The sequence below is a fragment of the Homo sapiens genome, chromosome 4 (assembly GCF_000001405.40).
Source record: "Homo sapiens chromosome 4, GRCh38.p14 Primary Assembly".
Classification (NCBI taxonomy): Eukaryota; Metazoa; Chordata; class Mammalia; order Primates; family Hominidae; genus Homo; species Homo sapiens.
This window is the reverse complement of record NC_000004.12, coordinates 39,925,642-39,944,913: the sequence shown is the minus strand read 5'-3', so window position 1 is coordinate 39,944,913 and position 19,272 is coordinate 39,925,642. Positions and strand designations below refer to the sequence as shown.

The window sequence follows — 19,272 nt, the reverse complement described above, 5'->3', positions numbered from 1 at the left end:
GAGCTGTAAAGAAAAAAAGAATAGAGGATTTATTATGTGAGGGTCAAAATATAGAATGATTTGTTTGTATCATATCGTCTTCACTCGTTTTATTCTTCCATCTTACAAATACCCAAAGATTAGAGAGCATCTGAGGTTATGTTAAAACCAAGTCTCAAAGCCTTTGAACCCGCCATGCATGTATCAAACTCTCAGCTTTTTGTTTTTTTTTTTTTTTTTGAGATGGAGTTTCGCCGTTGTTGCCCGGGCTGGAGTGTAGTGGTGTGATCTTGGCTCACTGCAACCTCCGCCTCCCAGGTTCAAGCGATTCTCCTACCTCAGCCTCCCGAGTAGCTGGTATTACAGGCATGCACCACCAAGCCTGGCTAAGTTTTTGTATTTTTAGTAGAGACGGGCTTTCTCCATGTTGGTCAGGCTGGTGTGAAACTCCTGACCTCAGGTATCCGCCCACCTCGGCCTCCCGGAGTGCTGGGATTACAGGTGTGAGCCACTGTGCCCCGCCACACTCTCAGCCTTTAAGGCCACTCATAATGTTTTAGGACCTTATGAATTCCCCTTGAGGCTAAAAATAACTTCTATTATGATTGTTCTGTTACAGTCAGTATCCAGGTAATTTTTAAGAATCGTGTTTGTGGGTTATCTTGAAGGCGGAAATAAATGGAGTAAACCATTTCTTACCTACATTAGAAACCTTCCATAATGATTAATAGTGTATTTTTTTTTTTTTTTTTTTTTGAGACGGAGTCTCACTCTGTTTCCCAGGCTGGACTGCAGTGGTGTGATCTCGGCTCACTGCAAGCTCCGCCTTCCTGGGTTCACGCCATTCTCTTGCCTCAGCCTCCTGAGTAGCTGGGACTACAGGTGCCCGCCACCACGCCCCGCTAATTTTTTTGTTTTTTTAGTAGAGATGGGGTTTCACTGTGTTAGCCAGGATGGTTTCAATCTCCTGACCTCGTGATCCACCTGCCTCGGCCTCCTGAAGTGCTGAGATTACAGGCATGAGCCACCACACCCGGCCGACTAATAGTGTATTTTGTAGTATGTGCTTGTTAAATGGTTTAGGTCTGGTAGAATGGATCTTTTTGTTGTTGTTGTTGTTTGTTTGTTTTTGATACGGTTCGCTTTGTTGCCCAGGCTGGAGTGCAGTGATACGATCTCGGCTCACTGCAACCGCCGCCTCCCAGGTTCAAGCAATTCTTATGCCTCAGCCCCCCGAGTTGCTGGGATTACAAGTGCGCACCACCACATCTGGCTAATTTTTGTATTTTTTGTATTTTTTTTTTTTTTTTTTTTGTAGAAACGGGGTTTCACCATGTTGGCCAGGCTGGTCTCGAACTCCTGACCTCAAGTGATCCGCCTGCCCTGGCCTCCCAAAGTGCTGGGATTACAGGTGTGAGTCACTGCACCTGGCCAGAATGGATCTTTAAAATAGAATTGGGTTTGGAGTTCAGGAAGAAGCTAGTAAAATGTGTGGCATCTAATTTTTCTGCACCACACAATTTAGGTATGAAATAATAACCTTGTCTTATTAAGTAATGCTAACCTTGACTAAATATATTAGTAATAAATTATATATCAAGTAGTCTATGCTGGTGTATTAGAAAAACAGGTCATTGAATTTTTCCCAAAGAATAATTTGTTGAAATTGAATGAAATTGAAAGAAATATTTTGATGCTTTGTTGTCTTTGTTGCTTTATTAATAGTACTTAGTATTGTGAGATATATGTATATATGTGTGCGTGCGTGTGTGTGTGTGTGTGTGTGTGTGTGTGTGTGTGTGTGTGTGTGTATTTGCATAGTTTTTGCCAAATGCAAATTTTGGAGGCATTTCTGTTCTCAGACTTGGTCAATTACTGAAATCTAGAATATGTAAAAAATATACTAATGCATTTCATTCCTTCAGAAAATACCTTGTACATATGTCTTAGTGTGTAGGGCAGATGTGCAATATGTAAAACACAGCCCCCATCCTTCAGGAGATCCTTTAGGAGTTCACTGCAGCCTTGAACTCCAGGCATCAAACGATCCTCCCACTTAAGCCTCCCAAAGTGCTGGGATTAGTGTCTTCTTGAGAAGACACGATTTTTATGCTAATGACCACAGCATTAGATGCTGTAAAATAATTGCTTCATAATTGGTACAGTGTTTCCAGTACGAAGGAGTCAATGATCCCTTCAGAAGAGGAAGTTGACGGTGTAGTAACTCATACCTGTAGTCCTAGCACATTGGGAGGCCTCGGCAGGTGTATCGCTTGAGCCCAGGAGTCCAGGACTAGTCTGGATAACATGGCAAAACCGGTCTTTACAAAAGATACGAAAATTAGGTGAGTGTGGTGGTGCATGACTTTAGTCCAAGCTTCTCGGGAGGCTGAGAGCTTAAGGCTGTAGTGACCTGTGATTATGCCACTGCACTCTAGCCTACGTGACTGAGTGAGACCCTGTCTCAAGAAAAAATGGAATTTGGGCAAAAACATTAAGGATGGGTAAGAATTTAGTAAGAGCGTATGTTTGGGTAGGGTAGGTATGTATTGAGGAGCAGAAGCAATTCTAGGACATATTCACATATTTAAAAAAGTGTCGAACTCTGTGAGCTTTCTTTTTTCTGTGTAAAGCTGTAAAGAGGCTCAAGATATTTTTGGAAGATAATGAATTAACCCAGTTTGACTAGAGCGGAGGGTTGACATTACATAATGTTTTATAATTATATATAAACATATACATATGTATAAGTATAGACGTGGAAAAGGCAAACAAAATTATAAAATTGATTATGATGTTTAAAATGTCATAAGGAATGCGGCCATAGGAAATCACTCTTTGAGTTGGGATAACATTAATTTAGGAGCACTGTGTTTGGTTTTAAAATCTAAAGAGACTCAAGTTGGGTATGATGCAATAAGGGCCTAAACTAAGCATTTTGGCAATGGAATCTAAATGTTACCAACTTTATTCAGTATGAAACTAGCTCACTTTTTTTGTTGTTGCTGAGATGGGGTCTTGCTCTGTGGTTCAGGATGGAGCAGCAGTTGTGCAGTCATAGTTCACTGCAGCCTTGAACTTGAACTCTTGGCCTCAAGGGCTCCTCCCTCTTCAGCCTCCCAAAGTGCTGGGATTACAGAATGAGCCACCACTCCTGCCTGTGAGGTTTTCTTAAAAGGAATTTACCATCTAGGTGCAATGAAAAGGCATAATAATGATGTGATAAACTTGGTCAGTAAGCCACTTCAACTTGAGCTTTAGGCCCAAAAGTTGCTCTAATGTGCTAAACTCCAAAGTTAGTTTGTGTGTATTAGGTGGACTTTCAATTCTAATGGCTTTATGCATTAACTGTGCTCCTGCACCACCTGCTGTAGTTTTCACCTTGAATGCATATTAAATAAATAAAAGGGCTATGTTACAAATAATAGTACGAAATAGGAAAGGAAGCTGCAAAGAAGCACGTATTGGCAAATAGGTTGTTCATTCTCAATCTTAGCCAGCAGTCCATGTATATGCTCAGTGAGTAAACTGCCATTTTAATATAAAAGTTAGATGGCCTGTTTAATTCAGAACTCACTTTGTCTTTACACCTGACAGGTTGATTTTTGTTGCTCAAAGATTGGTATACATGTAAAGTTTTCTGGGATAATAGTTTCATTAATTCAAGAAATACTGAGTACTTACTCTGTATGAGGCACATTTTTTGTAGACTCTAGGACTACACAAATTTTTAAATCTATTGCCTTCACAGAACTTAAAAGTCTAGTGCAGGAAAGACAGAATAAGCAAGTAAAATGTAAGAAAAATTGGAGAAAAGTAAAACTACGAAGAGAAAGTGCTTTTACAGCATATGAGTTAAAATGGTGTCCTTGCAAGTATTAGATTGGCAATCCTGAAACCTGGGTTTTAGTTTTCAGTTCTAGACCTACCATTAACTCATTATGTTTCTTCAGTTAATATCTCTAGGCTGAGCATAGTGGCTCATGCCTGTAATTCCAGGACTTTGGGAGGCCAAGACGGGTGGATTGCTTGAGCCTAGAAGTTTGAGTCAGCCTGGGCAACATGATGAAATCCTGTCTCTGCAAAAATAAAAACAAACAACAAGACCCCAAAATTTAGCCAGGCATAGTGGCACATGCCTGTAGACTCAGCTTCTCAGGAGGCTGAAGTGGGAGGATCATTTGAGCCCTGGAGGTGGAGGCTGCAGTGAGCGCCTCTGCGCTCCAGCCTGGGTGACAAAGCAAGACCCTGTCTCCAAAAAATTAAAATAAAAATCTGTAGGTCTGTTTCTTCCTCTCTTTCTCTCCTGTTCCTCCTCGTCTCTTCTTTATTTTTATGTGAAGGAATTCACATTTCTGAAGCCCCTACATTATCTAAAAGGTGGTTAGATTAACTGCTTTAAAGAGAACCTGAGATTCTTATGTATCTAAAATTCTTATATATCTTTAGATTCTTATATATCTGAAATGTAACATAAAAGGTGCATAAAACAAATGCAGTTTAATAAGTAACCACAAAGTGAATATACGTATAAAGAAATAGAATATCATCAGCACCCCCAGAAGTTGTGTGTTCCCCTCAATCATAAGCTTCTTCCTTCATTCGTAATTCCTCCATTACCATGTTAATGCAGTCTCCTTGGTTTTCTTACATTTTCACTACATATTTCTTAAAAATAATAGGTTCTTTTTTTCTTTTTTCTTTTATTTTTTCTTCCAGACAGGGTCTCGCTCTGTCATCCAGGCTGGAGTGCAGTGGCAAGTGATTATCTCATTTAGCCTCCCAAGTAGCTGAGATTACAGGCACCTGCCACCACGCCCGGCTAAATTTTGTATTTTTAGTAGAGATGGGGTTTTGCCATGTTAGCCAGGCCCATCTTAAACTCCTGACTTCAAGTGATTCTCCTGCCTCGGCCTCCCAAAGTGCTGGGATTGCAGGTGTGAGACTCTGCTCCTGGCCAGTTTCATATTTTTCTAGTTTTATTTATTTTTTACTTTATTTAGACAGAGTCTCTGTTGCCCAGGCCAGAGTACACTGGTACAACCATAGCTCAATTTAAATATATCCAAAGTATTATACAGTAGTTCAGCTATACCTTAATAAAGCTGTTTTTTTGTTTGTTTGTTTTTGTTTTTTTGGAAACGAAGTCTTGCTCTTTTGTCCAGGCTGGAGTGCAGTGGTGCAATTTCAGCTCACTGCAGCCTCCGCCTCCTGGGTTCAAGTGATTCTCCTGCTTCAGTGACCCAAGTACCTGGGATTTCTACAGGCGTGTGCCACCATGCCTGACTAATTGTTGTATTTTTAGTAGAGAAGGGGTTTCAGCATGTTGGCCAGGCTGGTCTCCAGCTCCTGACCTCAAGTGATCTACCCACCTTGGCCTCCCATAGTGCTGGAATTAAGGCGTGAGCCACTTTGCCCAGCCGCAGTAAAGCTATTTAAAAAAAATTTTTTTTTTCATTTTAGGTTTTGAGAAAGGGTCTCACTCTGTCGCCCAGGCTGGACTGCAGTGGTGTGATCAGAGGTCATTACAGCCTCACCCTCCTAGGTTCAAGCGATCCTCCCATCTCATTCTCTTGAGTAGCTGGGACTACAGGCGCATGTCTCCATGCACAGCTAATTTTTATTTATTATTATTGGTAGAGATGAGGTCTTGTTATGTTGCCCAGGTTGGTCTCCAACACTTGGGCTCAAGCGATTTTCCTGCCTCGCCCTCCCAAAGTGTGATTACGGGCATGAGCCACTGTACAATGTACAACTATAGCTCAGCCATAGCCTTGATCTAGGCTCAAGCCATCCTCTTGCCTCAGCCTCCCAAGTAGCTGGGACTACAGGTATTGGCCAACATGACTGGCTTTTTTCTAGTTTTACTTTTTCAATTTTATATGGCTAGAATCATACTATATGGTTCCTTGTGTTACTGTGTCTTCAGTGTTATGTTTGAGTTTTGTATTATTGCTTTTTTTTTTTAGATGGAGTCTCGCTGTGTTGCCAGGCTGGAGTGCGGTGGTGTGATCTTGGCTCACTGCAACCTCGGACTCCCTGGTTCAAGCGATTCTTCTGCCTCAGCCTCCTGAGTAGCTGGAATTACAGGCATGCGCCACCACGCCCAGCTAATTTTTGTATTTTTAGTAGAGATGGGGTTTCACCATGTTGGCCAGGATGGTCTTGATCTCCTGACCTTGTGATCCATCGGCCTCAGCCTCCCAAAGTGCTGGGATTACAGGCATGAGCTACTGCGCCTGGCCTAACTTATATAGTATTTCATTATACAGTTTAATCAGTCTTCTATTGACATTTTTCACTTGTAGTTTTTTGGCTTTTACAAACCACATTGCTGTTGTTAAAATAAAAACTTCAGACATATATATATATGTATTTTTTGAGACAGAGTCTTGCTCTGTCACCCCGGCTGGAGTGCAGTGGCACGATCTTGGCTCACTACAACCTCCGCCTCCCGGTTCAAGTGATTCTCCTGCCTCAGCCTCCCGAGTAGCTGGGATTACAGGCACCTGCCACCACGCCTGGCTGATTTTTGTATTTTTAGTAGAGATGGGTTTTCACCATGTTGGCCAGGCTGGTCTTCAACTCCTGACCTCGGGTGATCCACCCACCTCGGCCTCCCAAAGTGCTAGGATTACAGGTGTGAGCCACCGTGCCCGGCCCAGACACATTAAATTTAACAGAATTTAATTGAGCAAAGAATGATTCACAAACTGGGCAGCCCCCTCCAAACTTGAGTAGGTTCAGAACAGTTCCAGAGCTGCCAAGTGGTCAGATAACATTTATGGACAGAAAAAGGAAAGTGATATACAGAAAACGAAAGTGAGGTATAGAAATAGGTGAATTGGTTACAGCTCAGTGTTTGCCTTATTTGATCACGGTTTGAACAGTCAGCCACCTGTGATTGGCCACAATTCTGTGTGATTGGTAGGAGAGTAGGTTACAGTCTTTTTACAATCTGGTTAGGTACAGCTCACTATGTATGGAGAATCCTTTAGGCTGAATTTATGCAAGGAAGCAGCTTTAGGCTAAACTTAACACTCCAGTCATCCTTGTATACATACTCTAGCTGCTTTAGGGCACCACCAGAGGTGAAATTGTTGAATCATTGGGCATGTATGTCTTCTACTTAACTGAAAGCAGCAAAGTGGTTCTACCAATTTACATTTCAATTAAAAAGTGAGTGAGAGTTCTCATTTGCTATGTTGGACTTACAAAAAGTTCATTTGGCTGGACACAGTGGCTTACACCACTTTGGGAAGTCAAGGCAGGAGAATCACCTGAGGCCAAGAGTTGGAGACCAGCCTAGGCAACATAACAAGACCCCATCTCTACCAATAATAATAAATAAAAATTAGTTGCACATGGTGGCATTCGTCTGTGGTCCCAGCTACTCAGGAGACCGAGGCAGGAGGATCACTTGAGCCAGGGAGGTTGAGGCTGTTGTAATCCCTGATCACACCACTGCAGTCCAGCCTGGGCGACAAAGTGAGAACCTTTCTCAAAAAATAAAATTAAAAAAAATTTTTAATAGCTGTATTGAGGTGTAATTGAATTACTGAACAATAATTTGGACATATTTAAATTATATGACATATAATAATCGATCTGATCTTTGTTCTGATTCTTGGCACAGAGCCTCAAAAACCCTTGGAATTTCCCAAGTGAGAGTGTCTTTGTTACGCTAATGAGGCAGCTCCTGGCAGTGCCACTAGATAGCTTCAGGATGGGGCTGGTCACTTAAATTAGAGGATTGAAACTTTCTCCCAGGAGAAGAGGGAGGCTGGAGATTGAGTTCAGTCTTGATTTTATCATTCATGCCTGCGTCATAAAGCCCAGTGAATCCTGTGAACACTAAAGCTCAGGGGAGGTTAGTGGTTGGTGAACACAGTGATATGCTGGGAGGATTACATGTCCAGATTCAATGAGAAGAGTATACGAAGCTCTGTGTCCCCATCCCATCCACACACCCCTCTTCACCCCCAAGACTTTGGCTGATGTGTCTCTTCAGTTTGACTGTTCTTGAGTTACATACTTTTCTTCCACCTTGTTATTTTCTGTTTCTTTCTTTTTCCTTCTAGCTCACAGCACCTGGTATTCCCCAGTGATCTACCATCCAAGATCGAGCAGGCTCAATCTTGTTTAGGCTTCCAAGTATTTCCTTTATAATAAAACTGTGACAGTAAACATAGTGCTTTCAGGCCAGGTGCAGTGGTTCACACCTGTAATGTGTGAACCAGCACTTTGGGAGGCCAAGGTGGGAAGATCACCTGAGGGCAGGAGTTTGAGACCAGCCTGGCCAACATGATGTAACCCCGTCTCTACTAAAAATAAAAAAAATTAGCCAGATGTGGTGGTATGCACCCAGCTATTAGGGCAGGCTGAGGCATGAGAATCACTTGAACCCAGGAGGCGGAGGTTATAATGAGCCACGGTTGTGCCACTGCACTCCAGCCTGGGTGACAGCGAAACTGTCTCAAATAGATAAATAATAAATAATAAATATAGTGCTTTCATTGAGTTCTGTGAGTTATTCTAGCAAATTTTTAAACCTGAGGAGGCTATAGGAAACCTGAAATTTATAGCTGGTCTGTCAGAAATGGAAGTTGTCCCTGAGAATTGGGGCTGGCATCGGAAGTGGAGGCAGTCTTGGGAAGAACTTTGCCTGTGGGGTTCTGCGCTAAGGTGGGTAGTGTCAGAACTGAATTGAAATGTAGGACACCTATTTGGTGTCAGAGAATTGCTGTCGGGGAATAACAACCTGACAAGTTTTGACATACATACACAGCATTGAAACCATCACTTCAATTAAAGTGAACTTATCACCCTCATAAGTTTCCTCCTTTTGCTTTTTAGTCCTCTCTGCTCCCCATTTGCGCCTTGCTTCTGTCAGGTTCCTTTTATCGCGAATTAGAAGTCTTTTGTATGGGTATACCACAATGGATTTATCCATTTACCTTTTGAAGGACAGTTGGTTATTTTCAGTTTTGTGATATGCTGAATAAAGCTGTTAGGAACACGTACTTGTATTTGTGTGAAATGTTTTCAGTAAATTCTTAAGAATGGAATTTTTGGCTTAAATGTTAAATGCATCTTTAAATTTTATGAAGAACTGCCATACAGTTATCTGAAGTGGTTGTACCATTTTATATATCTACCTCCAGTGTATGTTTCTCTTGTTAAGTCTGTTCAGATCTTTTCCTCATTTTTATGTTGAGTTGGATGATTCACATACTACCTGATTTCAAAACTTTTTAATAAAGCTACAGTAATCAAAGCTATGTGGTATTGGTAAAAGGGCACAGAAAATAGGAACACAACAGAGTCCAGAAATAGGCCTACATGGTATAGCAGTTTTTTTCAACAAAGATGCCAAAACAATCCTGTAGAAAAAGAGAAAGAATAGTCTTTTCTAGAAATGAGGCTTGAACACCTCGACCCAAAAGCTTTCAGTACATACAGAAATTAACTCAGAATGAATATAGACATACATATAAAAACCTAAAACTATAAAACTTTTCCAAGAACACATCGGAAGGCCAGACGCGGTGGCTCACGCCTATAATCCCAGCGCTTTGGGAGGCCAAGGCGGGTAGATCACTTGAGGCCAGGAGTTTGAGACCAGCCTGGCCAACATGGCAAAACCCCATCTCTACTGGAAGTAGCTGGGTGTGGTGGTGCACACCTGTAATCCCAGCTACTTGGGAGGCTGAGGCAGGAGGTTGCATTGAGCCGAGATTGTGCCACTGCACTCCAGCCTAGGCAACAGAGTGAGACTCCGTCCCAATCAGTCAATCAATCAATCAATCAATACCACAGCGGAGAAAATCTTTACAACTTTTGGTTAGGTAATGATTTCTTAGGTAGGACACACAAAGCACAAACCATAAAAGAAAATAATTGATAAAGTTAGATTACGTTAAATCCTTCATCAATTAAATTTTTCTATGCTGTTAAAGACAAGCCTCAGACTGGGAGAAAATATTTGCAATATACGTATCTGATAAAGGATTGGTACCCAGAATATATGACAGCTGAAAACACATAAGGAAAAAAGAAAAGAGATTTGGAGAGGCACGTCACCAAGAAAACGTAGAGTAGGTGGCAAATACGTGAAAAGATGCTTAATTTTGAGTTAATTTGTCTCAAAAAAATATTTATAGAGTGCTGGAATGTGGTAAATATTCAGTAAATGTTAATCATTATTAATAGTATTGGTGTTAGTGTTTCTTTTTTATCAATATTATAAAAACCTAGCTGTGGGCAAAAAAACTTAGTTTGATTTTTTCCTGCTCATTTCTTAAAAAAAAAAAAAAAAAGAAAAAAAAAGAAATACTAAGACCGCAATAGATAAATAGCCAGAGGGTATTAAAACACAATCCACAGGAAAAAATTCACACAGACTTACCAAGAAATTGTTTAATTCTCATAAGTGTATGATAAATTAGATGAGGTAAGAAGAGATTAGTCTACAAAGAGCCAATAGCATTTAAAAAGGCCTGAATGGCACAGGGGATTCTGACATGTTGAAGGATCTGAGAGAAAATCAGAGTCATGTTTCAAACACCAGTCAAGCTTTAGTTATGTTATTTTAAGCAGACAGGGAACTTGCTATTTAAAAAGTGATTTGGAATTGCTGGAAGAGCACCCTTAATTCAGGCTTACAGGACTAGACTCCGAGAACACTTCGTATAGCTGGCCCACAAGGAGAGCTGAATCCTGTGCTCTAATCAGAAAGGTGGGAAAATCAGGAAGCCACCCTGGAGCTCTTAAGTAGGGACACACGTTTAGCCGTAATCCAGTGATTAGGAAGTCACCATTGGTATAATTTGGTACAGAGCCTCACACAGTTTAATAGATTAGTACCAGCACAAAATGGATGCTTCTTCCCTCTATCTTCACAATACTAACAGCCAGTTAGTAGAAAGCTGCTGTGTATGTGCCTGCCCGCACACACATACACACAACAGCTCACTCCATACTTGCCAGCTGACAACAGCAGAAACTACACCACCACCTCTTCTGAACTTTCACCTTCCAAATCTTGAATAAGTGCCTCTGATGGGCTATACGAGAATTATGACTTCAACTCCATTGCAAGGGAATCTAGGAAATGTAGCTTTTATCTTTCCTGCCTCAGTACAGCACATTAAAAATGTGCACAGTAACGACATATTTAAAAAAGGGAAGAATGAATGGAATTTCATTTCTGTTCCTGTGTGGTAAAGCAAAATCTAGTGGCTTAAAATGAATAATTGTTTCTTTCAATTCTGTGAATAGACTTTGTGGTCCTTCTTTTCCATGTGGTGCCTTCTGGGGTCACTGGTTTTTTTTTTAAACAGTTTATTTTAATTTAATAACAATCTGGGAAGTCTGCATCAGCGGTTCTAGTGCAATATCAAGTGCAATTGGGAATTCAGAAATTTCAGTGGAACTGTTAGTTTAGTGAATCTCGTAGGTAAAAATATATGCATGCTTTAACTTTTATTTTATTTTTCTAGAGGTAGCATTTTGTTCTGTCACCAGGCTGGAGTGCATTGGCATGATCATAGCTCACTGCAGCCTAGAACTTCTGGGCTCAAGCAGTCATCTTGTCTCAGCCTCCCAAGTAGCTGAGATTGTAAGTGCAAGCCACCATTCTTGACAATACATACATACTTTTGATAGCACACATGAACAGACCTCTCTAAAATTGCTCTCAATGAGTTCATTCTCAGCAAACTGATCTGGGTCATTCAACATGGTTTTGGTTTTGGTTTTGGTTTTGAGACGGAGTTTTGCTTTTGTCACCCAGGCTGGAGTGCAATGGCACGATCTTGGCTTACTGCAATCTCTGCCTCCTGGATTCAAGCGTTACTCCTGCCCCATCCTCCCGAGTAGCTGGGACTACAGGCACCTGCCACCATGCCCGGCTAATTTTTGTATTTTTGATTGAGGCAGGGTTTCACCATGTTGGTCAGGATGGTCTCGAACTCCTGACCTCATGTGATCCACGCTCCTCAGCCTCCCAAAGTGCTGGGATTATAAGCATGAGCCACTGTGCTTGGCTTCAGCATGGCCTTTTGATTGTTCCTCATGTTAGTGCATGTTCTCTCTTTTTTTTTGAAATGGAGTCTTGCTCCTGTAGCCCAGGCTGGAGTGCAGTGGCGTGATCTCAGCTCACTGCAACCTCCGCCTCCTAGGTTCAAGCGATTCTCCTGCCCCGCCTCCTGAGTAGCTGGGATTATAGGCGCGCACCACCAGGCCCAGCTAATTTTTGTATTTTTAGTAGAGACAGGGTTTCACCATGTTGGTCAGGCTGGTCTCGAACTCCTGACCTCGTGATCTGCCTGCCTCAGCCTCCCAAAGTGCTGTGACCCACCGCGCTTAGCGCTGCATGTTCTCTTTTTACAATAAATTCATGACCATCGGAAGATACCAGTTTGACATACATGGCATCAGGACCTTCACAGCCACCACAGGTTTTCTCCCCTTGGTTGTGTGTATTTATGAAGCTCTACTTTGCTTCTACAGGGTCACTCTTATGGCTAAGTTTAGATGGCAGCTCAATTAGGCCACCTTAGTTCTCTTCCACGTAGTCTATGTGGTATACACAGCCTCTGTTTTTTGAATAGTCTGGGATTCCTAATAGCATGGTGGGTACATTCCCATAGGGGCATTGCAATCTCAACGTACAAATGCTTATCAGGCCTGTTCTTGCATCAGGCTTGCTAATGTCTGTTTGGCCAAAATAAGTCACATGGACTGGGCATGGAGGCTCATGCCTGTAATCCCAGCATTTGGGGAGGCTGAGGCAGGTGGATCATCTGAGGTCAGGAGTTGAAGACCAACCCAGCCAACGTGGTGAAATCCTGTCTCTACTAAAAATACAAAACTTAGCCAGACTTGGTGGCGAGTGCCTGTAGTTCCCAGCTACTTGGGAGGCTGAGGCAGAAGAATCCCTTGAACCTGGGAGGCAGAGATTGCAGTGAGCCAAGATCATGCCACTGCAGTTTAGCCTGGGCGACAGAGCAAGACTCTGTCTTAAAAAAAAAAAAAAAAAAGTCACCTGACCAAATCCAGAGTCATTGTGGAAGAAGACTATATAAGGTATACATATGAGAAGGCATTGTATCATAGCCTCCAAGATAGCTCTGAATGATCCTTATTTCCTTGTATTTACTCCCTTGTATAGTCCCCTGCAACACTGAACGGGGCTGTCCTGAGTAACGGAACAGGCTGTGGTAGAAGTGACAATGTATGCTTTTCAAGGTTAGGTCGTAAAAGACTGCCACTTCATATTTGCTCTCTTGGATCTTGCACCAGGGGAAAACCAACTGCCTTTTCACTTGAGCTGTCTAGAAAGGCCCATGTAGTGTGGAACTGAAGCCTTTCAACAACAGCAAGTGTCAACTTAGAACCGTAAGAATGAGTTACCTTCAAAACACACCCTCCACGCCCAGTCAAGCCTTCAGATAACTGCAGCCTTGACCAGGTACAGCCTCTTGAGAGATTCCAGGCCCACACGACTTAGCTAAGCCACTTTCCAATTCTTCAACCACATATGATAAATACATGTTATTGTTTTAAGGCACTGAGTTTTGGGGTATTTTGTTACATAGCAATAATTAAAAAAAATTTTTTTAGCCTGGGCACCATATGGCAAAATCCCATCCTACAAAAAAAAAAAAGTACAAAACCTAGCCAGGTGTGGTGGCGTGTGCTGTAGTATCAGCTGCTCAGGGGGCTGAGGTGGAAGGAACTCTTGAGCCTGGGAGGTGGAGGTTGCAGTGAGCTGAGATTGCGCCACTGTACTCCAGCCTAGGTGACAGAGCCAGACCCTTGTCTTGGAACTGCTGGGCTCAAGCGATCCTCCTGACTTGGCCTCCCAAAGTGCTGGGATTACAGGTGTGAGCCATCACATCCAGCCCTTCTCTATCTTTTGTTTCACAAACCCTGATTCTAGTTTCTTTGGATTTATCTAATTTCTCAAGATGGAAATATAGATGATTGCATTCTTTCTTTTGTAAAATACACATTTAAGATTATAAATTTCCTTTAAGTACAGTGGTAAGTGCATCCTATGAGTTTTGGTAGTTCATATTTACATTATAATTCAGTTCAAAATATTTTCTCATTTCCGTTATGATTCCTTCTTTTATCAGTTATACTTCCCTAAATATTTAGGGAAGAAATAAAACCAGTCTTACTATCACACTTTTGATATACTATGTTAGAAAAAAAGAGGGATCACTGCTTATTTTGTTTCAAGCCAGTATAATTTAGTACTAAAACCTGATACGGTTGTCTTAAGAAGTTATAAGCCAGTTTCTTTCATATAATTACAAAGAAATAGAAATAATGTAATAGCAAATAAAATGTAATACCTTAAAATGTTATGACCAAGTTGTCTTTATTTTAGCAATGCAAACTTGGACTAAAATAGTAAAATTAGAATGCAAACTTGAATTAAAATTAGAAAATCAGCCATTGGGATTTACTATATTAACAGAATTAGGGAAAAAGTATGATTATCTCAATAGGTGTCAAAAAATACTCAATAGCCCAGGCATGGTGGCTTATGCCTGTAATCCCAACACTTTGGGAGGCTGAGGCAGGCAGGTCGCTTGAGCCCAGGAGTTCGAGACCAGCCTGGGCAACATGGCAAAACCCTGTCTCTTAAAAAAAAAAAACAAAAAACAAAAAAACTTTTTTTTTTTTTTTTTTTTTTTTTTTTTTTGAGATGGAGTCTCACTCTGTTGCCCAGGCTGGAGTGCAAGTGGCACAGTCTCGGCTCACTGCAACTTCTGCCTCCCGGGTTCAAGAGATTCTCCTGCCTCAGCCTCCTGAGTAGCTGGGATTACAGTTGTGTGCTACTGTGCCCGGCTAATTTTTTGTATTTTTAGTAGAGACGGGGTTTCACTGTGTTGGCCAGGATGGTCTCGATCTTCTGACCTCGTGATCTGCCCGCCTCGGCCTCCCAAAGTGCTGGGATTACAGGCATGAGCCACCTCGCCCGGCCCCCCAAATTTTTTTTTTTTGATTAGCCAGGTATAGTGACACATGCTTGTAGATCCACCTACTTGGGAGGCTGAGGTTGGAGGACCACTTGAGTCTGGGAGGCATAGGTTGCAATGAGCTGAGATCGCTTCACTGCACTCCAGCCTAGGCAACAAAGCAAGTCCCTTTCTCAAAAAAAAATAATAATAATAAAATTTTACACTCATGATAAAAAATCTTGGCAGAATAAAAATATAGCTTGAATATTTGACAGTGGCGACAGATTGTATTAGGGTTCTCTTAGAGGGACAGAACTAACAGGAATACACACACACACACACACACACACGCCCCAATAGGATATGTATAGGAGATATATGTATGTAGGATATTAATGGGATATATATATATATATATATATATATATATATATATAGTTTATTAAGTATTAACTCACAAGGCCCCACAATAGGCTATCTGCAAGCTGAGAAGGAAGGAGAGCCAGTCCGAGTCCCAAAACTGAAGAACTTGGAGTCTGATGTTTGAGGGCAGGAAGCATCCAGCACGGGAGAAAGATGTAGACTGGGAGGCTAGTCCCGCCGTCCCTTTTCATGTTTTTCTGCCTACTTTATATTCGATGGAAGCTGATTAGATTGTGCCCACCAGCTTAACAGTGGACCTGCCTTCCCCAGCCCACTGACTCAAATGTAATCTCTTGGCAACACACACACAGGCACACCCAGGATTAGTACTTTGTATCCTTCAATCCAATCAAGTTGACACTCAGTATTAACCATCACACAGATTAAGTAAACTGTGATTTATAATTAGAGAATCATTTTTAAGATCTGAGGAAATTATTGTGATTTGATACATAAAGAATTATAGTTATTTGCATAATTACAGAGAAAACAGGCCAGCATAAAGTACACAAAAATGTGAATGGTAGTTTCTGGAGTTGATAAATTATGGATTTTTCTTTTATTTTTTTTCATGATTCTTTGCATTTTATAATGATTCCAAAGTGTGCATTGGTTAATTTTATAACCATAAAAGCAGGTTAATTAAATGTTTTAATTAGAAATACAACTGCATTAATATAATTTTAAAATGCCTTTTTTTTTTTTTTTAAAGACAGTGTCTCACTCTGTTGCCTAGTCTGGATTGCAGTGGTGTGATCTTGGCGCACTGCAGCCTCCGCCTCCTGGGCTCAAGGGACCCTCCTATCTCATCCTCCTATGCAGCTGGGACTACAGACACATGCTACCATACCCAGCTGGTTTTTGTATTTTTTGTAGAGACAGGGTCTTGCCATGTTGTCCAGCATGGAAAATGACTTTTTATTATGAAGTGTAAAACTCATTAAAGCATGAAATGAAATAGCAATTTTAAGGAGCCTGAAGAAGGCTCCTTTAATAATAAAATATAAAAGAAGCATAGTTAATGATGTTGCCAAATATCAAATGAATGTTATTGTCCATATGGGGCCAGGAACTATCTGGGCTAGATTTAAAATGAATAATAAGAGGCTTAAGTTCCTCATAAATGAGGTACTAGTGCAGACAATGTGCCTGAGAAGGTGATACTTGTTTATGGGTTTTTTAGACTAGCCGTTTCATGCTTGTGATCTTTTCTGAAATTCTTAAATGAAGATTTATAAAAAGTTGACTGTGAACTGTCTGGTGGCCACCGATTGCTAATGGAGATGACTTTTTTTTTTTTAAATCACATCCTCCACTGATTTCTAAATTCCAGGAGTTAATTATTTTGTGTTTTTGTACATTTTTACAGATGGTAGTGAAAACCTTTATGGATATGGATCAGGACTCAGAAGATGAAAAACAGCAGTATCTCCCACTAGCCTTGCATCTTGCATCTGAATTCTTCCTCAGGAACCCCAATAAAGATGTGCGTCTCCTTGTAGCATGTTGTTTGGCTGATATCTTTCGTATCTATGCCCCAGAAGCTCCATATACTTCCCATGATAAACTTAAGGTAAATACAGCCTTTTTCACTTTATTGTATTTTTCATTCACCACTGTTCAGAAGGTATACTTTTATTTTTATATTTTACCTTTATGAACATAGGTTTCATATTAGTCTCTTCATCTTAAGAATATATTGTAAGTTGCAAAATTATTCATTCAGTTAGTATTTCCACAAATGACTGGGTTGCTTGGTTGTTTGATTTGAAGCATAGAAAGGTATAGTTCAAAACTAGTCCCTGTATGCTCAAATCCAATTTTCTGGCTAATTCATCACAAAAGCCCAGATAGCTATGTTCCAGGGATAAATAGCAGATTAATGATACTTTTTAAAATAATAGCATACCAGAATTTACATATTCATATGACTATTTTCCCCTATAAGTTATTCAGCATGCAAAACTATATGCTCATCTTGGTTGTTCTGCCTTTGTTCAAGTGTTTGTGGAACTCTTAACATTGATCTCTTGGGGAGATTTTGTATTTTGAATAATTTCATTCTTGGCAAATTTTAATCCTGTAGACTGCTTTCTTTAAAAATAGTCCTAAAATCATTTTGTATTATATTGATACTACTGTGAGTTAAAATTTCTAAAGAAAGCTTATTAAGAAATGAAAGACTACCATCATGAATCATAGAACCATTGGACTAGTCTGTTGCCTTTTTTCACACACAACTTCGTAATCATACATCAACTTCAAAACATTGGCTAAAAATTACTATTTACTTGTAGGTAATAGTAATGGAAATACTCATATCCAACTCCTTAAAATGAAGATAGTTTTTGCCCCGATGCAAGGTGGAGATAGTGAGTAAAGTGAAAGCACGATAGTAGAAGAAATTATAATGAGATATAGAGCCTGTGGTCCGCTCTGAAAGAGAAAGCCTAAAGATTTATAGTTTATTTTTGCTTCTAAAGAGTATAATTTTATTTGATTGGATCTTTTGAATCATTTTGAATAATGGATTAGGCCAATCCCAAGACATTCATCTAAAGGAGAATTTTCTTTTATTGTAGTTTGTACACAAATAATAAAGTTACATACTATTAGTGTGTTGTGAAAGAAAAGTATTTGTGTCTAAATTAATGTGTTTTTTTTTTTAACAGGACATATTTTTGTTTATTACCAGACAATTAAAAGGTTTGGAGGATACAAAGAGTCCACAGTTTAATAGATACTTTTATTTATTAGAGGTAAAAAAAAAAAAACTTTAATAACTATTAACATTATTTCACATGATAGCAAATTCTTCATGTTAACTTTGTAATGTAAAATGAGTGTTTATTTTATTCAAAGCCTATAATAAAATGTCTTTTACATTTCATAAGGAAAATATTATTTTATTTTTCTTCCTATCCTGAAGAGATAAAGTATATTCTGATGGAAAAACTGTAGATTATTTGAAACTATATCTTTTGTTTGTATCTATTTCTTTCTTTTTTTTTTTTTGAGACGTAGTTTCACTCTTGTTGCCAAGACTGGAGTGCAATGGCGTGATCTCAGCTCACCACAACCTCCGCCTCCCAGGTTCAAGCAATTCTTCTGCCTCAGCCTCCCGAGTAGCTGAGATTACAGGCATACACCACCACGCACGGCTAATTTTGTATTTTTAGTAGAGACGGGGTTTCTCCATGTTGAGGCTGGTCTCAAACTCCTGACCTCAGGTGATCCGCCCACCTTGGCCTCCCAAAGTGCTGGGATTACAGGCGTGAGCCACCGGGCCCGGCCTCTATCTTTTTATTTTTATTTTTTTCTATTCTAAAAACAGATTTTTACTGCTTCTTAAATTTTGTATGGAAATATATCTACCAACTTAAAAATATTGAGTATTTTTCAGTTTGAGAAAATTGATGCCATCAGGTATATATCTTTTTCAAGGTCAGAATATGTGATTAACACTTAAAATTTTATATGTTGAGTCTTTATAGACTTTAATATGTTTCTAACTCTAAAAATTAATTTTTTACTGAGTTTTTTATTATATAACTATTCTGTATATATGTATAATTCAATAATTATTTTTATTTATTTAAGAATTTAGCTTGGGTTAAATCATATAACATCTGCTTTGAATTGGAAGATTGCAATGAAATTTTTATTCAGCTTTTTAGAACTCTCTTCTCAGTGATCAAGTAAGTTATTTTTTAAGCATTTCTGTTTGTCTCTTTTTCTTGATTATGTATTCAGATGTTGTATACTCTACATGTACACTAAGATATTTCAGAGTTATAAGGAATTGTTTTCCTTAGAAAACTTAACATAAAGGGGAAAGTAAAAATTCTGTTGTCCGAACACTGCCTTTGACCTTATACTACGAATTTTAAAT

The 19,272-nt window shown here is 39.9% G+C and overlaps 1 protein-coding gene and 1 pseudogene across 7 annotated transcripts in view, besides 1 other annotated feature; one reads left to right on the top strand and one right to left on the bottom strand.

The window, feature by feature from the left end:
* The window catches only part of PDS5A (PDS5 cohesin associated factor A), a 155,049-nt gene that overhangs the window by 32,998 nt on the left and 102,779 nt on the right, over positions 1 to 19,272 (top strand). For 5 of the 7 annotated variants that reach the window (XR_001741185.2, NM_001100399.2, XM_011513672.3 and 2 more), the window contains exons 3-5: positions 16,750 to 16,953; positions 18,053 to 18,139; positions 18,981 to 19,078. Coding sequence is in view for 5 of the 7 variants with exons in the window: in NM_001100399.2 (NP_001093869.1) it covers positions 16,750 to 16,953; positions 18,053 to 18,139; positions 18,981 to 19,078 (389 nt within the window). In the remaining 2 variants the exon portion in view is untranslated. Of the gene's footprint in view, positions 1 to 13,284; positions 13,454 to 16,749; positions 16,954 to 18,052; positions 18,140 to 18,980; positions 19,079 to 19,272 lie in introns of those variants that run through there. The other 2 variants (XR_001741188.2, XM_047449932.1) reach the window with 1 other exon arrangement.
* Positions 3,777 to 3,826: an enhancer, noted in NCBI's record as "active region_21469". NCBI's record gives its function as "activates an Ori minimal core promoter by ATAC-STARR-seq in GM12878 lymphoblastoid cells {active_cell/tissue: GM12878}" and the evidence as "EXISTENCE:reporter gene assay evidence [ECO:0000049][PMID:35858748]".
* On the bottom strand, positions 8,059 to 8,161 carry RNA5SP159 (RNA, 5S ribosomal pseudogene 159; annotated as a pseudogene).